The sequence below is a fragment of the Homo sapiens genome, chromosome 8 (assembly GCF_000001405.40).
Source record: "Homo sapiens chromosome 8, GRCh38.p14 Primary Assembly".
Taxonomy (NCBI): domain Eukaryota; kingdom Metazoa; phylum Chordata; class Mammalia; order Primates; family Hominidae; genus Homo; species Homo sapiens.
Genome location: NC_000008.11, coordinates 94,236,731 through 94,263,111, shown reverse-complemented (window position 1 = coordinate 94,263,111; position 26,381 = coordinate 94,236,731). Strand labels below are relative to the sequence as shown.

Here is a 26,381-nt window from a genome sequence, read left to right as displayed (position 1 = left end):
ATGGCCAGGCTGTATTGGCTCATGCCCAAGGCGTAGCCTTGCCAGGGAGCCTGGTACAGAGATGCTGCTGATTGGGATGCTGATTAAATTCCCTGATTGAGGAGCCTCAGCATTCTGGCCCAGAGCAGGAGGGCCAGCAATATTTAGCACAATCTGCTTGGATCCTCAATTAAATTGTTTTTCCAAACTGCCCTTTTCAAGGTCTTGTCCTCTTTCCTCACCTCTTTCTGGCCCCTTCTCTCTGGGTCCTTGCCAGAGAAGGGAAACAAAGCCTTGTGGGGCTCCATCTGCTTCCCCCTATCCAGAAGAAGGTGACAAGGCTGTCTTCGTTGCAGAAGATGTGGTTAAAACAAGCCTTGGCTATTCAAGGTGGCTGCAGTCTCATCCTGGAGGCTAAAGTCTCTGCGCATTCCAGGTTGATCTCTGTTTTCTTGGCAAAACTGAGTTCTCAACTCAAACCTGCCTCTCCCTTCCATCCTTTATCCCGACAGCTCGCAAGTGCTTTGCTGGGAAGGACGATTAAGTGTCACTTAGTGTATTTTTCCATTTTCCTGTGTTCATCTGGTAAAAAGAAAATAAAACAAAATAAAGGAGGCCCAGGATTGAACTGTCATTATTTTTTAAATGGAGAGAGAAGGGGTCACATGACTGCGAGTAACTGATTTAGCCAAGTGGCTGCAACTCCGAGTTTGCTGCAGAGCCGCCCCCTCCCGGCGGGGGCGCTGACGTCACGGAAAAGCCCCGCGGCGGGTCGGCTGGGCTGGTTATAAACCGCCCGGCCGCGGCGGCTGCAGGCGGCGGGCAAGGACGGCGGGCACAGCGCAGCACTCCCCGCTCGTTGGCCCGGGTATCCCAGCGCGGACCCACGCGATACGCTGACGCCCCGACGCCGATCCGGCCGAGCCAAGTAAGGGGGACGGCCCGAGACGGAGAAGGGAGAGAGTGGGAGTTTCCCAGCCCGCAGAACTTTCGAAGTTGAGAAAAGAACCCCTGGAACGTGCGCTCAGCACTGGGATTTTCTGGTAGGGGTCAGAGCTTCAAGTGCAAAGGATGTCGCTTCTCATCAGCAGGTTCCTTAGTTCAATTCGGTAGAAGGGTCACCTCCCTCTACAGATCGAGTGGTCAGAGAGGGCAGCCCTTAATGATGCTTTATGTATTTGTTGTTTGAATGTAAGTCTGCCAACTGAGGTGCTGCTTTTGAGACTAAAAAACCGGCTGGTCGTCCTGGTTAGTGGCGAGATGTTGGGGTACGGAGTGTGGGGGTGAGGGTGGGAGAGGAGTGTTTGTGCATCTTGCTGATTGCAACGTAAGTACTTATACTTTATCACCAGTAGCCGGAAAAACAGACCTCCCGGCTAGGGGAGGCAGTCTGCAAAGGGAAAGTTGTAGAGAAGTTGTTGAATATCATTTAGGGGAGTCTTCAGCCTTCTGATTTGCTTCAAGAAGGGGATCTGAGAATGGTGGCTCAGGCCTGTGATCTCAGCACTTTCGGAAGCCGAGGCAGGAGGATCACTTGACCCCAGGAGTTCGAGACCAGCCTGGGCAACATAGTGAGGCCACTGTCTCTACCAAAAAATAAAAATAAAAATAAAAAAACTAGTGGACGTGGTAGTGCAGGTCTGTAGTCCCAGCTACTTGGGAGGCTGAAGTGGAGGATCTCTTGAGCCTGGCAGTTGGAGGCTAGCTACAGTGAGCTATGATCGTGCCACTGCACTCCAGCCTGGGTGACAGAGCAAGACCCTGACTCAAAAAAGGAATCTGAGTTGAATTAAAGAACTCTTGAGAATGGATGTGGTTTTTTAAGAATGAGGCACTTTCTCTGCAAATTTCATAGGTCTGAACATGAGCAGGTCATTTCTCTGCCAGGGTGTCTAGGTTTGGAGCCGGGATGTTTTAAAAGTGGTATCTGTGGGTAAGAGGGCACAGCTGAGGCATAAACTTTAAACAGAAAATTTCCCCCCTACCCCCAATAATGGCAGGTGGATGCTCTCCAGGCAGCTGGAGAGCATCAAGGCAACTTTACTAAACATGGAAGTTCCAATAAGTGCCTGTCCAGTCCAGCCAGGGTTGCAGTGGGCAGGGGAGGGGAGGGTGATGTCATTGCCACGTGTTTCCCACTGAGGCACAAAACCTGCTGGACACTGGTGCAATTAAGAGCCAAGTTTAGACAAGAGCAGCTAACCTGACCAGCTGGTCCCCAGCAACATTAACTTGTTGCTTTTCAAGCCATCTTTGGAGTCTGCTGGTTCTTTCCAGCTGCCTTTGTGCCAGCTCTGAGTGCAGCTCTTCTTTCATCCAAGTCTGCTTTGAGGAAGGGGGAAGCCCATGGGCAGTGGGTGATGTTAACCGTATTTGTTTTCCCATGCAAATGATAGTCTGCCTGAGGAGCTGGTTACTGACAGTGTGGGCAGCATGTGTGTGTCCAGTTGAAAGCCTGTCTTGTTGGGGTTTGGGGGACTGTTTAATTGGTGGTCTTTATGTTAGGGATACTTGCTTCTCATCTCATCTAATAAAATATTACTGATGACTGACCATGTATTTGAGCGGAGCTCTCACTCATGCTTACTAATGCTGCCATCTTGGCTGCTTTGCTCCCCAGGACTCAACGATGACTCTGAATAATGTCACCATGCGCCAGGGCACTGTGGGCATGCAGCCACAGCAGCAGCGCTGGAGCATCCCAGCTGATGGCAGGCATCTGATGGTCCAGAAAGAGCCCCACCAGTACAGCCACCGCAACCGCCATTCTGCTACCCCTGAGGACCACTGCCGCCGAAGCTGGTCCTCTGACTCCACAGACTCAGTCATCTCCTCTGAGTCAGGGAACACCTACTACCGAGTGGTGCTCATAGGGGAGCAGGGGGTGGGCAAGTCCACTCTGGCCAACATCTTTGCAGGTGTGCATGACAGCATGGACAGCGACTGCGAGGTGCTGGGAGGTAGGTGTCCCAGCCCCAGTGGGCTTCTTTCCACCAGGGGTGGCCCAGGAAGAAAGAGTGAGGGTGGGTGACTTATTTACCCACAGAGTTGGGAGCTGAAGTTAGGCATTTTGGACAATTGATGGGGGAGCTGAGTCTCTAGAAAAGCCCAAGCACAGGCTTTCGGGCAAGAAAATGAAAATGCTTGTAGACAGGACCAAAATCTGTTGATCCTGGGCCAGAAAGGGAATTCTTCAGATTCCAATTCTAAATGGGTTGGGGAAGGCTGATTAGAGAGGGCAGAGCCAGAGGGTCAGCGCCCCACTTGACTTCTGCTGACTCTGACTTGAACATTCTTCCCGGAACTCAGTATAGACACAGCCTTTTTCCATGGTTATACCTAAAACAAGCCAGTTGGAAAAGCTGTTAGGATGGCTTGATCAGTTTGCTTCCACCAATATTAGAAAGTTTTGTGGGTGTTAAATAGTTCAAAATCTGTATTTGAAATAGCATAATAATTTTTTAAAATGTGAAGTATAACAATGAAACTTTCTATAGAGTCTGACAGCTTTTCAAGACAATTTTCCCTGTACAATTTCATCTATTTATTGATTGGAGCCTGGCCTATTTCCAAAACTGTTTTGAGGTGACATTATCTCAAAATGCATGTATTCTTCAGCTAGGGGTAAAGCACAGCCCTATGTTCTGCTAAGTAATATGAGGATCCTGATAGCCAATGCCATCCATAAAGTGTCTTTCAGCCACAGCTTCAGTCTGAGCGTATGCGACCAGGGTAGTTATATGTCCCTATTTGCAGCTACAGAAATAAAGGAAGCACTGCTCAGTGTTTCCCCAAGTCACATGGTCTGTGTTCTGTCGCGACTCACAACTGAATCACAGAGTAGGGAGGTGTCTTAGCGATGACTCAGTTCTCCCCTGCATTGATGCATATTAATGTTATTCCTCACTACCCACAGCCCATCTCATCTGGAGGTTTTATTCTTCTTGATTGTCTCAGTGTCAAGGAGTTCACTGCCTCATGAGGCAGCTCAGGAACTGGGCTATAAATAATGACTCATTGTTGTAACATTGATTTCTCTCCTCACTCCTGGAATCTCAGAAGAGTAAAGGGAGAAATAGGGCCAGTGTTGTACAATTGATTCCCTCTTTCTTTGTAAAGGCTGCCAGGTGACTTGCTAGGAAAGAGAAACGGGAGGAAGGGGCTAGCATTTAGAGTGAATGTTTGCAACGGGAGAGGCACTTTGTTAGGTGCCTTATATTTGCTGCTGTTTATTTTGGTCTTCACAAAGTTCTTGTACTCATGAGTAAACTAAGTCTCAGGGAGATCAAAAGCCTTATCCAGAATCACCCAATAAGGAAGGTGGATTTAGAATTTGGGATTTTATCATCTTAGTTCAGTTCATTTTACCATTTCTGGGGAACTTGCTATGTGCCAGGCACTGTGTTAAATACTTCCCACACATATTTTTGATAATACTTGAATCAATCTGGCATTAATATACCTATTTGACAGGTGAAGAAATGGAGGCTTACAAAGTCAAGTGACTTTCCCAGGGTGAAAAAACTAGTACATGGTATGACCAGGATTCAAATCTAGTTGTGATTGAACCCAAATCCTGTGTCTTTTCATAGCCCCCTGCAGCCCCAGGATTTAGCTTCCAAATACTAAGTATGACAGCACATTGGGCATCAGCCACACACCTGGCTCTGGCCTAAGCTCTGGGATACAAGGCGATGGATGAGGTATACCATGCCCCCTAGTAATGAGCTAAGTGTTAGTTGCTATGTTGCAGAGCAGGGTCACATTAACTAATATTTTAAGCAGTAACGATACAGTGCTTTGGGCGTTGACATAAGGAAGAGATGGACTGGGAGTTGTTTTTTGTTTTTAAGAGGGAAGAATTGAAAAAAGTTAGTGGATAGTAGACTTTCAAAAATGTTTGTCCATTAGAATGGAGTTGTATGTATCCAGAGGGTAATATTCCCATAGGCATAAAATGTTAAGAAGACTGACTCATACCTGGAATTTGGAAAGGTAGCCTTCCCAGATATTTTGGGAACTTCTTTGTTGAGAGAGAGAGAGAGAGATGCCCAATATGACAGCACATTGGGCATCAGGCATATGGCTGATCCTGGGGCCGCAGGGGACCATGAAAAGACACAGGATTTGGGTTCAATCATGAGAGAAAGGGAATCCTTTCCCTAGCTTCTTACACAGAGAATCTGTAGGACCTGCTGGAATCACTAGTTGGTTTTGTTTCCCAAGAGGAAGGTTTTCTAAGGCACACCCCTACATTTTTTTTTTTTTAAATCAGCATTCACTGTAAGAAAAAAAATCGACATAATATTCTCATAATGATTTCTCCTAATAAAGATGGATATTGTTACAGTTACACTACAGTAATCTTATGACTCTCTGTATACACTGAATGCCATTCATTCATTCATTCATTCCTAAGAAGTTACTGAATGTATAGCACAGAGCTTGGTGAGGCACTCTGGGGACATGCAAAGAGTCATGGGGCTTCTTCTGCGGAGATGCTCACAGTATGCAATGGAGCATAATGTATACACCAAGTAGAAATTGAGATAGGATGTGGTAAATGTCTTGAAAGTGGTGTAAGGAGAGTGCTGTGGGAATTCCGAGGCGAAAAGATTACCTCTGACTGTGGATTTAAGAGCTTCATGGTTGGCCCGGCATGGTGGCTCATGCCTGTAATCCCAACACTTTGGGAGGCCGAGGCAGGTGGATCACCTGAGGTCAGGAGTCCAAGACCAGCCTGGCCAACATGGTAAAACCCCATCTCTACTAAAAATACAAAAAATTAGCCGGGCGTGGTGGCATGTGCCTGTAATCCCAGCTACTGAGGAGGCTGAGGCAGGCGAGTCATTTGAATCTGGGAGGTGGAGATTGCAGTGAGTCGAGATCTCACCATTGCACTCCAGCCTGGGCAACAAAAGTGAAACTCCATCTCAAAAATGAAATAAAATAAAATAAAAATAAAAATAAAATAAAATAAATAAAATAAATAAAAGCTTCATGGAAGAGATGGTCTCTGAACTGGACCCTAGGGACAACTAGGATTTGGAAGCCCTGAGCTAGGTGGGAAGGCACACCACACATATATAGCAAAGTACGGAAGTCTCATTGGGCTTGGGGTTTGATGATGGGTTTAGACGCAGCTCTGACACTGACTTGGCTGGGTGCTCTTGGACAAGCCACTTAGCCTCCTCAAGCTGCCTCATTAGTGTAATTGGGGTAATACCTCCTTCATAGGGTGTTACGAGGATTAAAGGATATAACATGTTGAGCATGGAGCATGGTGCCTGGCACATAGTAAGTACGAAATGAGCATTAGTTAGAGCTGATTCTGAATCTACCATTTCCTTTTGATGTGCTTATCTTTCAAAAGTGGTGGTTTCCTTGCTTGTGGCCCCTGTCCACTTTGGTCACTGTTGGCTGGGGCCCGTGGAGCTGTCCAGAGGGGACCGGGGCCAGTAGAGTAGAGGACAGTATTTGTAGAGCAGGCATTTCTTCTGAGGTTCCTTGGGATCCCCTGAGCTATGAAAGCTGGAAGCAGTTGAAAGTTTTCAGGGAGAGGGATGCTGGAGTCTCAGAACTTTAGAGGTGCTGCAGGAGTCAGTTCTGGCAGTGAGAGAACACTTGGGCGGGTTTCACACACACACAGCACTTGAGCCAGTCTTGGGCAGAAGGGGCCTCACTTCCAAGCACAAGGAGTGTTAACGAAAAAATTATTAACATGGTAAGGAAGACTTTATTCAGGGCCATTGCAGTAGGCATCCCAATAGTGGGGAGAGATGGGGCTCAATTCCAAGTACAAGAAGAACAAGTGGGCACTTAGCCAAGGAGCAGGTGGGAGGGGGTCAGAGGATAGAAAATTACTAAGAGGAGACGTCAAGGTTAGGGGGATTCTTGCTGAAGTCAGGCCAAGGAGCAGGTGGGAGGGGGTCAGAGGATGGAAAATTACTAAGAGGAGACGTCAAGGTTAGGGGGATTCTTGCTGAAGTCAGGCCAAGGACTTAGACTATCAGAGGTGGTGGGTGAGGAATTTGATCAGATATTGAAGGTGGGGGATTCTCACTAAACTGACTTAGCAGGATTCTTGCTAAAGCTGAATTCTGCCAGGATGGAAACGGAAGCCCAGGGAGAGGCCGGGTAGAGAAGAGGATTCAGAGGAGCCTGACTAAAGTTTGGTCAGGGAGAGAGTCTGTCAGGGGGATCAAATGAGGAAAGACAAACTGGTCTAGAGAAAGTGGCTACTGACCACCATCACCCCTTATAGAACGTCTGTCTGTCCCCATCAGCATGAGTTCTTTTGCTACATAGAGTGTGCACAGACACCCCAGCTTTCTTCCAGTGCACTGGAGAAGTAGGGGTGTCTCCAGACCCAGATTACGGAAAAGCCTCACAGAGACTAATCAGTATCCAAACCTTTCTCCACACCTTTACTGGAAGCAGATTTCAAAGAGCTCTCCTAGAGTCTGGTATTCTTTTCCTTCCCTTCTTCTCACCTGATTAGCACTTGAAAAGGATAAAAGATGAGCTGAGCAACTTAGATGAAGAGAAACCTGGAGCTCTGGTTACTCCCAGGCTTGCACCTGGTTAGGGGAGAGCCTTCAGTCGGGATGCCATGTGTGCTGGAAGGGTCCTGGTGCACACAGCCAGAGGCCGTATCTAAACTCATGTACTGGGGTGGGGGGTAAAGTGGGGAGCACACGTGCTGAGCAGGGAGGAGATGGATTGTTTTAGCCTCCCAGGCCTCCAACACCGTAATTTTCAGGCAAAGGTAAGATCAGACAGAATGATCCTGTCAGGAAGCTTCTAGAACGGGAAAGCATGTTTTTACTTTCATGGCTGTGATCCTTAGTCCACTTTTTCTCTAGACTTGTTCTGATATCTCTTAAGCCAGGAGAAAGTTGGGTTTTCCTTTTCCGTCAGCGATTGGAACACAGTATGTTTCTATTTGAATGACTGGGCACTCAAGCGAGTCCCCTGTACCTGAGTGGTGGGCTGAGAAAGTTCCTCCATCATTGAAGGAGTTGTCTGAGTGCAGGGAGGGGTTTTAGAGAAGAGCTAAGAACCCTGTGGTGGGAAGCAGCAGTCAGGCCATCCCCGTTCTGTGCTGCTCAGGCTCTGACAGTCTCCCTTGCGTTGTCTAATTTACAGGTTGAGGTTGTGAGGTTCTACCCCTGGTAATCCAAATAGTCCCACTGTGATCTCATTCCTTCTGCATATTGTGAGCAGGCACACGATGGGCGAGACAGAGTTTTAATTCCCCAAGGGCAAACACTTACTGATTAGAAGAATGACGCTGTGGGAGGTGGGGAAACTCACAGAAAGACAGGGCCATGCCTGGTTAACTCTCTTCTTATTTGTCCAAGTTTTCCTTCTCTAAGGAAGGGAAACCTCTCCTGATTCCAATTCTTAGATGATGAAGCATTAAACCAGGAGCAGTGTTTTTCGTAAACTGCTCGCTATTGTAAAACAAGAAGTGCCCTGGTTCCAACGTAGCTCTCTTAAGCTAGGATTTATCTGTAGTGAGGAAGTGCTGAGTATGGCAAGAACCAGCTTCCTTCACCTGAAGAAGTGATAATGGCTAACACTGACTGAGTTTCTACTTTGTGCCCAGGCTTAATACAGGTAATTGTCACATAGCCCTAAGGTGTGAGTACTATTATCAATCCCATTGCACAGATGAAGAAAACTGAGGCTCAGAGAGCCTAAGTTGCGTAGACCCCCAGAGTTCATAAGGGATGGCACCTGGATTTGAATTCAGGTTTGCTTGTTTTCACAGCCACAATGCTATATTTATCATTCGTTCACTGTACAAACTTTATTGTGCACCAGCAATGTACCAATGTGCTGGGGGACACAGTAAACAGCATAGATGCAAATGTCTGCCCTAACATTACGAGAGGGGCAGGAGGGACAGAAAATAATAGAATAAGTAAGTTAAATGTGTTGTATGTTAGGTGGCAATAAGTGAGATGGAGAAACATAAAGCAGAGAAGGAATATTGTGGGATAGAAGTGTTGCAATTTTAAATGGATGGCCAGGAAGCACCTCCCCCAGAGGGAGGTAAGGAAACAGGCCTTGTGGGTATTTGAGGGAAAAGATTCTAGACAAAAAGAACAGAAGAAAAATGATAAATCATTATGAAAGTCATAATTTTCAAAAGATGAAATTCAAAACAGGAAACCTCATTGTGAAAATAGAGTGGGGATGGGCTCAATGGTATTGGGATGAGGGAAATCCCACTTGCAAAAATCCCACTGTACCCCTTTTCTACGCCTGCCCCCCATGGATTTTCCAGGCTGGAACTGCTTTGGCCCATTGTACTGTACTGTGTTCACCCTTCACCTACACAAGATCTGGGCTCAAGTGCAGGGAGGAAAGTTTCCATTACCAAGTAGAGCTGGAGGCTGCATTTCTATTATACTCAAGATGGAAAAACAAGCCCACTTATTCCTAGGGAACAGCATTTTTTTTAAAAAAAGGAAGAAAACTACAGCCAAAACAGGGAGAGTCTCAAGATTCATTCTTGCACTTGTCCGAAGAGGAGCAATGTCTCTGAGCCCAAAGCTCCTGAAATTGCTAGTGAGTATTCAGTAACTACCCACTGAAAGGTACAATGGACTTATGAAAATGTGGCTTACAGTTTCACTGGGTGGTTAATGTTTCCTCATAGCATTAACCATTGAATCTGAGTCAAAAGCTCTTGAGTAAGTTTATCCTCACAAATGATTTTGCCATACAAAAGGTCCAGGAATGATGCAAACAAATGCCTTTTACTCCATGTGGTTTAGTGACACATGTTCGAGAGAGACGTTCTGCTGGATAAGGACTGGAGGAATTATATGTAGAATGTTGTTGAAGGTGACAAAAAATAGTAATTTGCCTTTGAAAATATCTGTATACTTACATAATTAATTGCATATTTAGTAAGTTTATGTTCTAGCACAATTTTCTACCTGACCCTCTTATGGAGAAGTGTTGCATATTCGCCTGACTCCAATATCTTTGTTCTTTCTTCTCTAGAAGATACATATGAACGAACCCTGATGGTTGATGGGGAAAGTGCAACGATTATACTCCTGGATATGTGGGAAAATAAGGTATGCAGAGCCTGTAGCTCTCTAAATTCCTTTAGGGCTTTCCTTTCAACAAGTTGTTTGGTGCAAGGGTGACCTTGTCCTATATAGTAGGTGTTCCAGATGAGGTGGGCTCATTTTCTTGATTAAAAGCATACTGCTGAAGAATGAGACTGTTCTAAGGAACAGGTCGTTCACAGATGAGTTCTGAATAACAAGCAAGTTGTAGTGACTTGCCTTTAGTTCTATTAAAAAACACACCCAAAAAGTTTATTTGTTTTAGGGAAAATACAAACAGGCATTGACTGTTATTTTAAATAACATACATCCATCTCATATGAAGTTGAGATTCTCAATACCAGTCTTCAACATTGGCTTTTTAAAGATTTTAAAAAGCTTCAGAACCTATGTGCTAGACTTCTGTTAATTGAAAACCCTCCTAGTCCCACAAAAGTGTTCTTAATCTCATCACTTGGAAAAGGCAAAAGGGAGTTTTTGGGAAGTCAGAAAAGGCTCATTTTTGGTAGATTAAATAGAAATTGGAAATGCTGTTTGGCAGAGAAGTTGTGTAATTTATCAAATCAAGCTGTAGAAGATACTGAAAAGTGAAAACTTTTTGGCATAAATACTGGACAGGCTAGCAATCTTTACAGCCACCAGACATCTTATAGGCATAGAAGACCAATGCTTTTAGGGAGTTGGAAGCGATTTTCTTCCTTTTTCCTATTTTTCCTATCAGCAAGTGTACTTTAGGATACACATATTGTTTCTTTGCAAACTGATGCTTTATTCCCCAGGCCTAACTGAACTCACAGAAGATCTTATTGTTTCATTAGGGGGAAAATGAATGGCTCCATGACCACTGCATGCAGGTCGGGGACGCATACCTGATTGTCTACTCAATCACAGACCGAGCGAGCTTCGAGAAGGCATCTGAGCTGCGAATCCAGCTCCGCAGGGCCCGGCAGACAGAGGACATTCCCATAATTTTGGTTGGCAACAAAAGTGACTTAGTGCGGTGCCGAGAAGTGTCTGTATCAGGTAAGAGGAGCAGAGCCAATACTGTAGAAACAATCGCTGGATCACATGTGTTTTCCTTCAGACACGGGTTCTTCCCTCCTTCCACGAGGCTGGATCTAGGAACTCATTAAGATGCTATATGAAATTTTAGGTGTGTTTCTCAGACTCCTACAGTCCCAGTGGGTCTCCTCCACACTAGTTGTTCTCCCTTGTCCATCTGGTCTACCTGCAGGATACTAATCCTCCCGCTTTTAAGGAGTTTCCTGGAATTCCCAAGAGTACAGGGAAATGAAAGTAGCATCTTCATGCAAGGAGGATAGGGAACTCTGATTTAGGGGAACTGTGAGAAAGAGTTTCATTGAGGAAAAAGAATTCTACTCTGGCTGACTCTGGTTCCTGTGAGCCCTAGAAACACTGTCCTACTCTCCTACTCCCCATCCCTGGCTTCTGAAATTTCATTTGAGGCATCAGTCTGATGGGGTCACATATTCTTCTTCATACTTAGCTCAGGGAAAATCTCTATCTGCTGAGTGGGCAGCCAAGTGCTTTTATAGCCCTTGAGATTTTACTGGCCTAATTCAGATTTGATCCTGGTACAATTATAAAACTAAAATACTACATTGCCGGGCCCTGCTCAGGAGGAAAGACACCTGATAAAGACAATGTACACACTAGTTTGGGAATGTCTTCCTACTAGGACACAACTGTCTACAGTAATCATTTTTTTTCCAAACCAAAACTTGATGCATGGTCATTGAATGCAATGAAATACTTGAAATTGAGACTGTCCCAGAAAAGCTTGTATAATTTAACTGTATTACACATTTGTAAAATTCTCAATTTTTTCCCAAGATATCTCATTATTGCTTTATTTTTATTTTTATTTTAAAAGAGAGGAAAGCTAAGCAGTAGAATTCTTATTTCCAATTCTGGAAACTGGGTCAGGAGAAAGAGTTGAGTATGGGCTTGAGAACTGAGCAGACCTGGCTTCACTGCCACTTACAGGCTGTGTGAACTTCACCTGCAGAGGAGACTCCCCTCGGTTTCTTCATGTATTTGACAGGGATAATAATGTATTTTCCAAGATTGTTGTGGACATTGAAAACAGTGTTTATAAAGAACTTAGCCTTGTTCTTGGCACATTGTAAGTCAGCAGTAAATTAAGGGTATGGCTTTTACTGTTATAACTAATATCACTATATTTGATGAAATGGGACCTTCAGACAGTGAATTTATGGGGGATCAGATCTAAAGCCCATCTCCCTTACTTCCAGGGACCCTCCAGTGAGACATTTTCTATTCATGCCCTGGGAGGGCCCATGCCGCAGCAGCATCCTCTATCCACTGCATATACAGCTGACTTAGTGTTACCTCGAAGAACCATCCAGCTTGACTGTGTGCTATGTGGGACTGTGCTCTGCAGTCCCTCTGACCTCTTTCTTTCCTTCCCAGAAGGGAGAGCCTGTGCAGTGGTGTTTGACTGCAAGTTCATCGAGACCTCTGCAGCTGTCCAGCACAACGTGAAGGAGCTGTTTGAGGGCATTGTGCGACAGGTGCGCCTTCGGCGGGACAGCAAGGAGAAGAATGAACGGCGGCTGGCCTACCAGAAAAGGAAGGAGAGCATGCCCAGGAAAGCCAGGCGCTTCTGGGGCAAGATCGTGGCCAAAAACAACAAGAATATGGCCTTCAAGCTCAAGTCCAAATCCTGCCATGACCTCTCTGTACTCTAGGAACCCAGGGTCACCCAGATGTCCCTTTGATGGCCGTTGTTGAAGGCCATTGGGACCAATAATCTATATTAGATTGAATACTTAAGTTAGATGTGGTTTCCCCCATTGTAGCAGGGAGCTAGCGTATTAGCCTTGTGGGCAACATGATGCATGGGAAATGAAAGATTTTTGTAAAAAGTCAGTATTTATTTCCAGGAAAAGCCTGACCTTGCTATTTGAACACCCAAGACTCTTTAGAGGATGTGTTTGGTGTTCACATGTGTTTCTTCTATTTTGGATAGTAGAGAAGTAAAGCTTACAAAGAATGCCTAGAACAAGAACTTTTCATCATTAAAAATTTTTCCCAGTGTTCTGATATGTGACTTTGAGGCCAATGAGTCATAAACAAATATAAGAAAGCTGTCAATGAGTTTCTTCAAAGGAGGGAAAACTTTCTACGAATCTAAGATCCATGGAGCTAGAATTGTAGAACTAGGCTCATCAGAATCGTGACTATTATTGCTCCATCAAACTGTGAAAAGAAATGATGTGGACCTTGCTGGAAACAAAGGCTTAGCAAACAATTTTTGTTCAATGCCCACCAAGACATATAGAATTGGGAACTGATACATGTGTCCCTTATAGGCTCAAAAATTATATCTTACAATTTCTTATTTAGGGGGAAATTATTTGAATCAGATTCTATTTAGTCAAACCACCTTTTATGTTTTATTATTTTTGAATTCATGGAGCCATCATAAAAATATTTTTAAAATCAGAATTATTGATACCCTGTAGTGCAAAATGTCAATTTTTAATGTATAATCAGAAGTCTGAATTTTTATAAAACATATAGCATAAAAACTTCCAGTACTTTGGTTGACCCTTGTATGTCACAGCTCTGCTCTATTTATTATTATTTTGCAAAATAACCATTTTAACATTTGATAAAGCATATTTATGAACATATTTCTTAATAAGAAAAATATCCATTTTATTACCATTTTCTATCTTTTTCAAAATATGCAAGTTTTTACCTATATGTCTTATAATAAAAGAAATAAAATATTTGAAAAAAGGCATTCTTGATTGATTTTCCTCCCCAAACAAGATGATTAGGATTATTTTTATACAGCCTTTAGAGCAAGCACATTCCAAAGAGACATATGCCTATTGTTTTCTTTCTTTTTCTCACTAGCAATAGCCCAGTCATTATCCGTTTTAAAGGATATCCCTGACATCTCTGCTTTGAAATCACGATTCACGGTAATGCAAAGTTGTTTTTGGCTGATACCGTTGGGAAGTATTTGGGGTCATCTCAATGCTGTTATAGGAAAAGCCAGATTGACCTTTTACTTTGGTCTGGCAAATGCCTGACTGAACAGATGGGCTTCACTTTGCTCCCTGGAGGCTGATGGTCTTAAGCTTGACTAAGGCATTAGAGGAAGTTATAAAGGATTAGGGGGAAATAAAATAAAGGAATCTAGTGATTTCCAGCCTGAGATCTAGCCAGGCAAAGCTTTCACCAAATTCTCCTCTCTGACATTAATATGGCTTGACATTAATCACTTGGCATCTATCCAGCGGCCGTATGCAGCCCTTTTGCTGGAATGGAACTTCTGGTGTTCTCCCTTCACATCTTCTCTGGCCCTATATGCACCCTATTTCATTCTCTTCTCCCTAGCTTTTTGAGTTTGTAGTGAGACACACACTGATGGTGACAATCATGGGACTTCAGACATTCCCTAAAGCTACACAGTTGTTGTTTTCTTGAGACGGAGTCACTGTGTCACCCAGGCTGGAGTGCAGTGGCGTGATCTCGGCTCACTGCAACCTCCGCCTTCTGGGTTCAAGCGATTCTCCTGCCACAGCCTCCCAAGTAGCTGGGACTACAGCATGCACCACCACGTCAGGCTAATTTTTGTATTTTTAGTAGAGACAGGGTTTTACCATATTGGCCAGACTGGTCTTAAACTCTTGACCTCAGGTGATCCGCCTGCCTCGGCCTCCCAAAGTGCTGGGATTACAGCCACAAGCTATCACGCCTGGCCTTAAAGCCACGCAGTTTTAAAGGGTGTCTGCTCTGTTTTCATTGCCCTTTCTCCCCTTTTTCCAAGTTGAGCACAAAGGTTCCCATCTCTCTGCACTTTGCATCTTAGAATTGCTCAAGGCAATAGCATGGGGAGATGATACAAGTAAAGATTCAGGTTACATAGATCTGGGGTGAATTTTGGCTGTGGAATTTAGCAACATGGCTTTGGAGTAAAGGTTAAAGGTTTCTAGCTATCAGTTTTCTCATCTACCAAATGGGATTGCTAATAATACCCACTTGGTAAGGTTAACATCTTTGTGAGATTAACATCTTTTAACCTGCCATACAGTAAAGAGCTCAAGAGATCTTCCTTTTCATGGTTGCACATTTTCCATTCCGTATCATTTAGAGTTAGTTTTACATGTCTGTTTCCCCTAATTTGAATGGAAACTCCTTTGAATCAGGGACCACCACTCTGTTCCTCCTTACCCTTCTACTCATCAGTGCAGCGCACTGCATATACTGGGATTTTACGAACTTTCTTCTTGAGCTTCATAGATCCTCCCAACACCTATGTGAGGTCAATAGGCCATCTCACAGCAAACCAGTTCAGGTGGATAAATGACTTGTCCAAGTTTGTTCAGATGCTAAGTGTCTGAGCTAGGACTGAGGTCCACCTGTGACTCCTGGTCACTTGTATATTCTTATCTCCAAAACTTTCCTATAAACACAGCCTGTTTCATCCCCAGGTATCATCCTATACACAGAATACACAGACACACACACACACACACAAAATGCATATATATTCTTTACACTATTTTTCTCACAATCTCAAGCTTCCTCATCACTTCTTTTAGACCTTCCCAACCAAATGGCCAACAGATGCCAAGGCTCCAGGTTTAAGGGTATGTTCAAGGTTGTCATGATCACATTCCCTTGGCTTGAAGCAGGGCAGGATAATGCCGGCTGCAATCCAATCCAAGAGGATTTTTGGTTAAGAGCTTTAGCTCCAGGGTTAGACAAACCTGGGTTTCAATCTGGTTTCATCACTTACTGGATGTGTGGCCAAGAGTCAAGTTCTTTACTATCTCATAGCCTCAGTTTTCCCATCTGTAACATGGGAAGAATGCCCACCTCATAGGGTTGTGGTAAGGATTATGTGAGACCTGCAAAAGTTATGTCATCATCTCAGGGACAGCACTGACTCTGCCTGCTCTAGTGCAGCATCCACACCTTCACACATTCATGCATTCTTCAAATATTATTGGACACCCAGGTGCTAACAGCTGCTGGGAATATAATGATGGCTAAGATATTATCCTCATCCTCAGAGATCTCAAGAGTAATAAATTTGTCCTGAAAAGCCAAAGGAGGTAGCACTGGTGATAGGAAGAAAATAAAGAAATTGTGAGAGGATTATACCAGGAAGGGACTCAATTTTTATTCATTAGATAAAATTCAAATGATGAAAACGTTTGTTAAGATGATTGAGTTAGATGTGGAAAAGAAAATTGGGCCATTTAAAAAATTCCAGTTGGGAAAAGTGGGAGCATTGGGGAAAGGTGAGTTTTTAAGCATCCTACATTTTTGCTTACAAATACATGAACTATTCAATGCAGAGAAAGATGCAGATGATTCTAAATTCACTTGGGCAAATTTGTGGAGCTCCGGCTTAAGAAAAGTACTGTGGAGAACACATGGTGGGAGGAGGCAGTTTTGCCTTTAAGGTGCTTGTAATATAGTTAACAGTGGCAGGAAGCAGATGTAGTAGGGAATGGAGACAACTGCACAGAAACCTAGAACGTGAGGTTGAAGATAATATGGGCCATCGGAGACATGTGCTGTAAGGCAGTTTAGCTTTGGTGGAAGAAAAATCCTTTGCTTGGCGTTGCAGTAATGAATGTCTTTTTTTTTCTTTTTCTTTTTCTTTTTTTTTTTTTTTGAGACAGAATCATGCTCTGTTGCCCAGGCTGGAGTGCAGTGGCATGATCTCAGCTCACTGCAACCTCCACCTCCTGGGTTCAAGCAATTCTCCTGCCTCAGCCTCTGAGTGGTTGGGATTACAGGTAGGTGCCAACACGCCCGGCTAATTTTTGTATTTTTTGGTAGAGACGGGGTTTCACTGTGTTGGCCAGGCTGATCTCGAACTCTTGGCCTCAAGTGATCTGCCTGCCTTGGCCTCCCAAAGTGCAGAAATTACAGGCGTGAGCCACTGCACTGGCCCATGGATGTCTTCTTAGAGGAAGTGATGTTGAGCTTCATCTTGAAGACTACACAAGATTTCCACAGGTAGGATTGGTTGAAAGGAAGAAAAAGGGAAAAACTGGCCTATGTAAAGAAAATAGCATGAGCAATGACAGAGAGGCAGGAAAGGGAGAAATCTATATAGAAAAATGAGAGAAGTCCAATTTGGCCGGGAGCTTTCTGGGAGGCGTTAAGTGAAGGTGTTAATGTATGATGCTTGATAGCCTGAGAGATTTAGTTTCAAATTCTTACTTGTTGGGTGTAGTGGGTTAAACAGTCTTCCCCCAGAATTTGTGTCCACTTGAACCTCAGAATGTGACTTTATTGGGAAATAGGGTCTGTGCAGATGTACTAGTTAAGGATCTCAGAACGAAATCATCCTGGATTAAGGGTGAACCTTAATTCCAATATGTGGTGCCTTTATAAGAGAAAGAAGAGAGATTTTGACACAGAGGGGACACAGAGGGAAGAAGGCCATGCAGAGATTGGGGTTGCAATGCCAAGGAATGTTTACAAGCACCAGAGCTGAAGAGACAAGGAAGGATCTTCCTCTAACTCCTTCAGAGGATGCATGGCCCCGCCAACATCAAGATTTTTGGATTTCTATACTCTAGAACTGGAAGAGGATACATTTCTGTTATTTTAAGTCATCGAGTTTATGGTAATATCAGCAGCCCCAAGAAACTAAATACATTGGGTTACTTAGGGCAAGTCAATCTTAATGTGCCTCAATTTCTTCATCTGAAAAACAAGGATAATAACACACATCTTATAGGAATATCATTAGGATGAAATGTAAAGCACTTAACTTATCAATTTATTGTTTGCCCAAGAGGTGGAGAGCGAGTGAACTGTAAGGGTAAGTTGGGAAGCAATTGTAGAAGACATTGAGTTCCAAACTGAGAAATTTGGACTTGGCTTGGAAGGTAATGCAGCTGCTTGAATATTTCTAAACACGGGTGTGACAGATTAGAGTGGTGCTGCTTCAGGACATCGCCCAGAAGGGCTGAGCCTGGCAGGAACCGAGTCATGAGACCCACCCAGGGAGACCAATGAGGAAGCCACCGCAACGCTGGGACTCTCGTCCGAATCAGGAGAATTGCTTGAACCCAGGAGGTGGAGGTTGCAGTGAGCTGAGATTGTGCCACTGCACTCCAGCCTGGGCAACAGAGCAAGATTCTGTCTCAAAAAAAGAAAGAAAGAAAAAGAAAAAAGAAGACATTCATTACTGCAACAGCCAAGCAAAGGAGTAGTGAGTAAGGCATTTCAGGCAGAAGGAAGGAAGTCCTTCGTCAGGGGCAGCCTCAGCCCAGCATGTGCATTTGCTGTGCTTATTGGACTTAGCACACGTGTCCAGCAGCATTCAAGGTTTTCTGTGAGAAGTGCACATAAAGTGGTGAGGCCTGATGCCCACAATAGCCAGAGAGCAACACAAAATGACAGCAGGAGAGAAAGGGAGCCGTTCTGGCCAGACACAAGCCCTGGCCAAGGCCCTGGTGACAAGATTGCGCTGGAGTAAGATATGGAGTCCAGTCGTGTGACTGGATAGGAGACAGCCACAAAACGACAAGAGACTCTACCCAACCATCAGTAAATCATCCAGTCCAACCCTGGGGAAATGAGGAAGTAAATATTATCCACCTGTTTTTCTTGTCATGCAGCTAGGGAAAAAATAACATATGCAAACCAAGGACATGAGGTTTTTAGCGAAGGAACATACAGGTGATCGTGTGTATGCATGCACGTATGCGTGTGTGTGTGTGTGCATGCACGTATGCGCGTGTGTGTGCATGCACGTATGCGTGTGTGTGTGTGCATGCACATATGCGTGTGTGTGTGTGTGTGTGCATGCGCGTGCACGTGTTGGGGAATAGGGTAGAGGTGGGAGAGAGGGGGCTCACAGCTAAAGGAAAAGTAGAGTACTACAATTAGTAAAACAAATATCAATGAGACTCTTGTCTTGCTCCGCTCTTCAATACATATATTCCAAAAATGGGTATGCTGTCAGTCTTATTTATTTATTCCAGCATCTACCAAGGAAGGTGAGTATCCTAGAGCATGCCCTTTCTGGAACTCAGGACAAGTAATTGTTATTTCAGTTTTACTGGGATCATGCTCAAATAAAACAAAAATGTTCTTGTATCTTCTGTTGTATTAACGTTTTAAACCACTCCATTGGAAGTAGAGAAACTACCCCCTTACTGTCAGGCTTCTGGAAAAGTAAAAATGCAGGAGGACTGAGAAGTACTCTTGCTAGTATCACTCAGAGGCCCCAAGGCAGTTGCTTGACTTGGAGAAATTACCGTGTGGATAATTTGAGATAGCTTTGGAGAACACTTTCTTGAAAGGTATTTGCAATTTTATTTGCATATACATACATACCTATTATGCATATACATGTGTGTATGCACTCAGATATATATACACACACATTACATACACAATTTTTTTTTTTTGAGACAGAGTCTCTGTCGCCTAGGCTGGAGGGCAGTGACGCCATCTTGGCTCACTGCAAGCTGCTCCTCCCGGGTTCATGCCATTCTCCTGCCTCAGCCTCCCGAGTAGCTGGGACTACAGGCGCCCACCACCACGCCCTGCTAATTTTCTTTTTTTTTGTATTTTTAGTAGAGACGGGGTTTCACCGTGTTAGCCAGGATGGTCTCGATGTCCTGACCTTGTGATCCGCCTGCCTCGGCCTCCCAAAGTGCTGGGATTACAGGCATGAGCCACTGCACTCAGCCGACATACACATTTAAGCCAGTCTTGATTAAAGGTAGGGAATAATTGCAGTGCAGATGGCAGCTATTTTATTGATTAATTTTTATTTGTATAAGTTTATGAAGTACAAGTGTAATTTTGTGACATGAATATATTGCAGAGTGCTATGAAGTCAGGGTTTTTAGGGTATCCCTCACCCAAATCAAGTACATTGTATCCACTAAGTAATTTCTCATCCCTCACCCCCCTCCCACTTCCCCATCCTTCCAGGTCTCCATGGTCTATAATTCCACTCTCTACGTCCATGTGTACACATTATTTAGCTCCCATTTATAAGTGAGACTGTGCAGTATTTGTCTCTGTTTCTGAGTTGCTTCACTTCAAACAATGGCTACTAGTTCTACCCATCTTGCTTCTAAATACGTGATTTTGTTCTCTTTGATGACTGAATAGTATTCCATTGTGGCAATACGCCACATTGTCTTCATCCCATCCAGATGGCAGATATTCTAAAATAAGTATCTAATGGGGGAACTCCTACTTCTCTGGCATACCCACAGACACAGAGGAAGGGCAAATGCATGACATCAGGAAATGGGCAAGGAACAGTGTTGGAGGTGGTGCAGCTCAAGCAGTTAGGATTTATTTGACTAAAAATCACATGTATTTGAAAGTAGCAACCTCTCTCTTTGTAAACATCAGGCCAGACAAGACAGTGAGGTAGAAGTGGAAATCTTACTTAAAAATCCAAAGGAAATGGCCCTGTGACTCATCTATTTGCTAATAAAATGGAACTGGTGGCCTGCCATAATGTGTTTCAAAACTTGGAAACAGCAGTGTGAGGAGCTTGGATTATTTGAGGAGTGACTGGGCAAAAGTACCTCTGAGCTGGGTAGGAGAAAAATAGGTAGAGCCAGGCCCTCCAGATGTCTTTTCGACAAGGACTGCCATGCCATAAATCTGCAACCCAGGGAGGCAGGCAGGCAGCCTCGACTGTGACCACCGCCCCCACGCTCGGCTTCATGCAGCACAGTGCAAAGGGCACTGTTTACTCATCATGTGTGGATGATCTGAGTCACAGCCGAGATGATGATGTTGATGAGGCTGGAAGGAGCTGACGTTTATTTAGCTCTCATTGTCACATGGAAGCACACGCAGACCTACTGACCCCCAAAGATGACTCAAGCTTGTTAGAGCCTGAGAGTATCTTAGATGTCAGATCCCCCAAATCCTTTTCATACAGAGAGAAAATGATGCCCTGACAAGCGTGATGTGCTCTAGGCGACTCAGTAGCCCAGTTGGCCTGAAACCTGGGGCTCCAGATCCCAGCTCAAGGTCTTTCCCACAAGCGTGTAGTGCGGTCTCTTGGCTCCACATCAGGATCAGGCAGCTGCCCCGCTTCCCAGCTCTGCAGAGACAGGCTCTTTGGTCTTCTTGCTTGGCCCTTCCTTCTTGTCCTTATTCCACAATCCAGATGTGGCTCTTCTTAGGGCACCAACCAAAATTTACTTGTCCCAGCTTCAGACTTCTGCCAGGTGAAAGAATTGTGTAAGAGATGAGTGCTAAATTCTACATCCAGAAAACATTGGGCTTGGGTGAAAGCCTTAGATGCTAGTCCTGTCTTTGCTAACTATGAGTGAGCTTTAACATCCTCCTATATAAAGTAAGAATACTGATACCTGCCTTGGAGGGTTTTTAAGACTGAGATAAGTAAAAATGATTCGTAATCTCTAAAGGGCATTCGAATCTCTGCAGGGTTATTAAAGTGCTATGCACATATGAGGTGGCATAAGGATTTGTTTGCACTTCAATTCATTCACCAGTGTTTGAGGGAGAATGACAGGCATGTATTTGGCTGGCACAGGAAAGAGATCTTCGGGAGCAGTGGGTACCTCAGTGCCCACCCCCATGTTAGGCCCTGTTTCCAGCATGCAGGTAGACACTCACCTAGTTTGCTGACCTATTGGACTGGGCTTGATTGTTGTCCCTGGGAACATATAAAGCCAGTTTAGAAACATTAGCAGTTGGGAAAATGCCAACTCTATCTCTTCTGGCAGCAAGAGAAGGAAACTCTTCATTTGATTTCCTTTACTACGTCTTTGAGACTCTCTGCAGACTGGGCAATAAGAAATGCCATTTTACACGCTGAAGAGGAAGATGTTTGAATCATAAAAAACTCTGGTTGAAGATGACACGGTCCATTCCCCAGCTTAAAAGGAGAACATTGCCAACAGATAAATGGGCCTCTAGGGTTTCACAGGTGCTCCAAGTTAAAATTCTCAGTATAGGAAAAAAGACAGAAGTGGACAGGAAGAATCCACCTGCTTTGCTACTAAGAAGGAAGAAGCAGACTGTAGAGGTGTGTGGGAGGGTGGCTGAAAAGATGGGATAAAGTGGCAATGAACAGGGTGGGTTCTGGAATCCAGTTGCCAGGATTTGAATCCTGGCTCCACTGGCTCCCATCTGGGTAACTTGGGCAAGTAATTTTATCTTTCTAAAGCTCAGCTTTTTCATCTGAATGGAGAATTTGAATAAATGAATTAAAAAGTAATCCACTTCTTAGGTTTTTTTCAGGGGAATAAATGGAAAATGCGTACTAAGTGCTTGGCGCTTTCCCCGGCACATAATGAAAACTCAAAAACTTTTAGCTATATTTTATTATTTTCTTTATTCAGATGAAAACCAAGAGCCTTCAGAGATTTGTCCTGGGAGGAATTCTGGAAGTAGGGACCCGCTATCTAATCAGAGACTCTTCTACTCTATTATCCTAAATTTTTGTCCTCCCATTGGGCAGCCTTAGTAATGTTCTCATGGGTAATCCAGCCATAATGACCTGGCCAAAGGATGAACCAAACTCCCTGGCCAAAGGAGTTCCCCTTAGCAGCTGAGAACAGGCTAAAATTTTCAAAAAGCCTTTATTCAGTTCTGAGGTTGCTAAGCAACCTGTATTCGGCATGTAAACAATACAGTCTACAGTATCAGAGGTACTTAGCCCCCTACCTCTTGGGCCATATGTTGAGAGGCATGTTATCTCAGGCCTCCTGCCTGGATTTGTTTGCAAGCTTCCAATTCTGCCTCCAATAGGGGATTCCTCTTAAGAACTCCCACTCAGAAGCTACCTCATAGATATCATAATGTCAAAACGCAGAGAAGAAGATGTCTTCCCTGCCCTCTGCAATTCTAGGCTCTCCCTCGAATGCTAATTTACTGAGTGAGATACAGGTATCTTCCTTCCCTAATGACCGGTCCAATGTGTTTCTCCTCCACCTGCAGTGAGTGCCTCACCCTGTGCCACCATGGGGTTTCTATCCTTGAAGGTCCCGTCACAATGCCACAGGCCAGCCTTTCCCAAGTGTGTTCTCTGGGACCCTTGCTCTCTGTTGTATTATATTCATGTGAATTCTGGTGAAAAGGGGGATTTCCATGGTCAAATAATTCAGGGAAAGTTAGGTTAAAGAAAGCAAAATGGTTTTCTTATTTTTATTGTGGTAAAATACACAGAACATAAAATTTACCATTGTAATCACTTAAAAAATTTTTTTGAGAGACAGGTTTTCACTCTGTCACCCAGGCTGGATTGCAGTGGTACAATCATAGCTCACTGCAGCTTTGAACTTGTGGGGTCCCACCTCAGCCTCCTCTGTAGCTGGGACTTCAGGTACACACTGCTGTGCCTGGCTAATTTTAAATTTTTTTGTAGAGACGGGGTCTCACTGTGTTGCACAGGCCGGTCTTCAACTCCTGACTTTAAATGATCCTCTGCCTTGGCCTCCCAAAGCATGGGGATTACCAGCATAAGCCACTGTGCCCAGCTTAACAATTTTTAAGTGTACAGTTTTGTGCATTAAAGTATGTTCACATTGTTGTGTAATCATCACCACCTTCCATACTCAGAAATTTTTCATCATCTCAAACTGAAACTCTATACCCATTATAAAATAACACCCCATTTTGCCCTCTCCCCAGCCCCTGGCAACCATCATTCTGCTTTCTGTTTGTATGAATCTGACTACTCCACGTACCTAAACAATATTTGTCTTTTTGTGACTGGCTTCTTTCATTTAGCATAATGCATCCAACACAAGTTGGAGCGTGTGTCAGAATGTCCTTTATTTTAAAAGCTAAATATTATTCCAGCTGGGAGCAGTGGCACAAGCCTGTACTTTCAGCTACTGGGGAGGCTGAGGTGGGAGGATTGCTTGAGCTCTGGAGTTAGAGACCAGCCTGGACAACATAGCGAGACTCCTTCTCAATCTTAAAAAAACTTATTCCATTGTATTTGCCACATTTTGCTTATCCCATTGGTGACAGATAATTGGATTACTTCCGTCTTTTGGCTATTGTGAGTAATGTTGCTATGAACATTGTACAAATATCTGTTTGAGTTCCTGCTTTCAATTCTTTTGGGCCCAGAAGTGGAATTACCAGATCCTATGGTAATTCCAATTTTATTTTTTTTTTAGGAACTGTCATACTGTTTTCCGCAGAGGCTGCAGCATTTTCTGTTCCTACCAGCGATGTACGCACGTTCCAATTATTTTCTGTGTTTTTGTTTAAAAATACATAATAATCACTCCCATTGGGTGTGAAGTTGTATCTCATTATAGTTTTGATTTGCATTTCCCTAATGATTAGCGATGTCAAACACCTCTTCATGTGCATACTGGCCATTTGCATCTCTCCTTTGGAGAAATGTCTATTCAAATCGTTTGCCTATTTTTAAACTGGGTCATTTGTTTTTTGTTGCTATTGTTGAGTTGTAGGAGTTCATTATATGTTCTGAATATTAATTATTTATTAGACATGATTTGCAAACATTTTCTCCCATTCTGTGGATTTCCTTTTCAATTTGTTGATAATGTCCTTTGAGCCACAAAAGTTTAATTTCAATGAAGTCCAATTGATCTATTTTTTCTTTTGTTGCTCGTGCCTTTGGTGTCATATTCAAGAAACCACTGCCAAAGACTTTCTCTGTGTTTTCTTCTAAGATTTTATGGTGTTAGTTCTTATGTTTAGGTCTTTGATCCATTTTGAGTTAATTCTTGCATATAGAATAAGAAAGGGTCCAATTTCATTATCTTTTGCTTGTGAAAAATTGGTTTCTTTCATCAACTAGAGTTCATTGTTGCAAGCAACAGCAACTGAGAGAGACAAACTTAAGGAAAAAAAGAAAATGATTGGAATAATTTTAGATAGTTCATAGGAATTAAAGGAAAAGGTGAACGATCAAATCACTGGATGTACAGGATCTGGGAAAGATTTAGGAGTCTTAGTAACAGGAACTTACGGACAGCTTCTAAGAGTGCTATGATCTGAGAGATTCAGTTCCAGTAATCTTTTTTGAGCATGTAATTCTGCACTGGTTACCACATTTGGCTAGGGGCCTGCAGGTGGGAGTGTGTGTGTGTGTGTGTGTGTGTGTGTGTGTGTGTGTATGTGTATGTGTTGAGGATGAGGCAGCATTGTCGCTGAATGGTCTCAACAAATCAGACCACATGAAATGCAGGGTCATGGTGGGTGGGAGGGAGGGAGTTGTTCCCCAAAGGAAAACCTGAATGCTGTTACCAAAGGAGGGAGAAAGGACTGCTGGGCAGGCCAAGCAATAGACACCTACTACTTTTCTTCACTGAACGTTCTTAGAGCTATTGATATTGCTTTGTGAATTTCGGGCCGGGAGGTATAGTGTGCAGCATTTCTCATACCTGTTTGTCCATAAAACCCTCAGCTGCATCTCACAGGATTCATGTTCCATAGACCATGTTTTGGGAAATGCTCCTCTATGCTAATAAAAAGAACAATGTTCTTGTACAGACTTCATGGGAGATTTTGACAGAGCAGGTCTTTAATGAGCACTGTCCTAAACCTTGGGACAAAGGCTGATAAGGCTCCTGGAGGTAGAAAGAACTCTGTTTTTCAAAATGCAAGCCACATACCGTGGCTCATGCCTGTAATCCCAACATTTGGGGAGGCTGATGCAGGAGGATCGCTTGAGCCCAGGAATTCAAGACCAGTCTGGGCAACATAGTGAGACCTATCTCTACTGAAAATAAAAAGCATTAAAAAAACAAAAACAACAACAACAACGACAAAAAAAAAAAAAAAACCCAAAATGCAATAGCTGGTCTTCCAAAAATGAATAATGAACTTCTTCTGAAGGAGCATACATACAACCAACACGGTTCAGTTTCCTCATCCTGATACACTAAATTTGCCATGACTACCCCCTTAGAGCTGTGCTTTGGAAGTCCCTGTAGACACCCAGGAGAGGGTCTGGCTATGTGGCCAGGCAGGTATCGGCATGACTTTGGCCAGGTGCCTGCTTTGCTAACTCTTGAGTATCTGACAGCTGCTGGCCTGGGGAGACTGGGGATGGAAAGATATGGGGGCTGGGCCTTTCAAGCTTTGAAGTGGCTTCCTAATCCTCTGATCTCAAAGGCTAGCCTTGCTTCGCAGAAGACCAGGTTTGGGGATTAATAATCTGAAAACTGAGTGCAAAAAAAGCTGGGACTGATGAGATGGGAAGTGGGAGGTCTCCTGGTACCGAGGGAAGTATTTTCTAGAATGTGAACCAGGAAGCCGGAAACTGGGGATCTGGGGTGCAGC

At 43.9% G+C, this 26,381-nt stretch overlaps 1 protein-coding gene across 4 annotated transcripts, besides 2 other annotated features; it reads left to right on the top strand.

The window, feature by feature from the left end:
- Positions 1-792: 792 nt before the first annotated feature.
- GEM (GTP binding protein overexpressed in skeletal muscle) lies at positions 793-13,859 on the top strand. 4 transcript variants are annotated; one of them, NM_181702.3, is made up of 5 exons: positions 793-907; positions 2,600-2,939; positions 10,000-10,076; positions 10,889-11,093; positions 12,525-13,859. In NM_181702.3, exons 2-5 carry the CDS (start codon positions 2,609-2,611, stop codon positions 12,800-12,802), a joined length of 891 nt encoding a protein of 296 aa, NP_859053.1. In that variant the 5' UTR covers positions 793-907; positions 2,600-2,608; the 3' UTR covers positions 12,803-13,859. The 4 variants fall into 4 exon arrangements, with proteins under 4 accessions (NP_859053.1, XP_047277642.1, NP_005252.1 ...); XM_047421686.1 differs by having other exon boundaries at positions 12,347-13,859; NM_005261.4 differs by having other exon boundaries at positions 793-1,022.
- Positions 1,482-1,551: a silencer, noted in NCBI's record as "silent region_19365". NCBI's record gives its function as "represses an Ori minimal core promoter by ATAC-STARR-seq in GM12878 lymphoblastoid cells {active_cell/tissue: GM12878}" and the evidence as "EXISTENCE:reporter gene assay evidence [ECO:0000049][PMID:35858748]".
- Positions 2,693-2,836: a silencer, noted in NCBI's record as "fragment chr8:95272504-95272647 (GRCh37/hg19 assembly coordinates)". NCBI's record gives its function as "represses an EF-1alpha promoter that drives an FKBP-Casp9 reporter gene in an ReSE screen in K562 erythroleukemia cells {active_cell/tissue: K562}" and the evidence as "EXISTENCE:reporter gene assay evidence [ECO:0000049][PMID:32094911]".
- Positions 13,860-26,381: the final 12,522 nt, after the last annotated feature.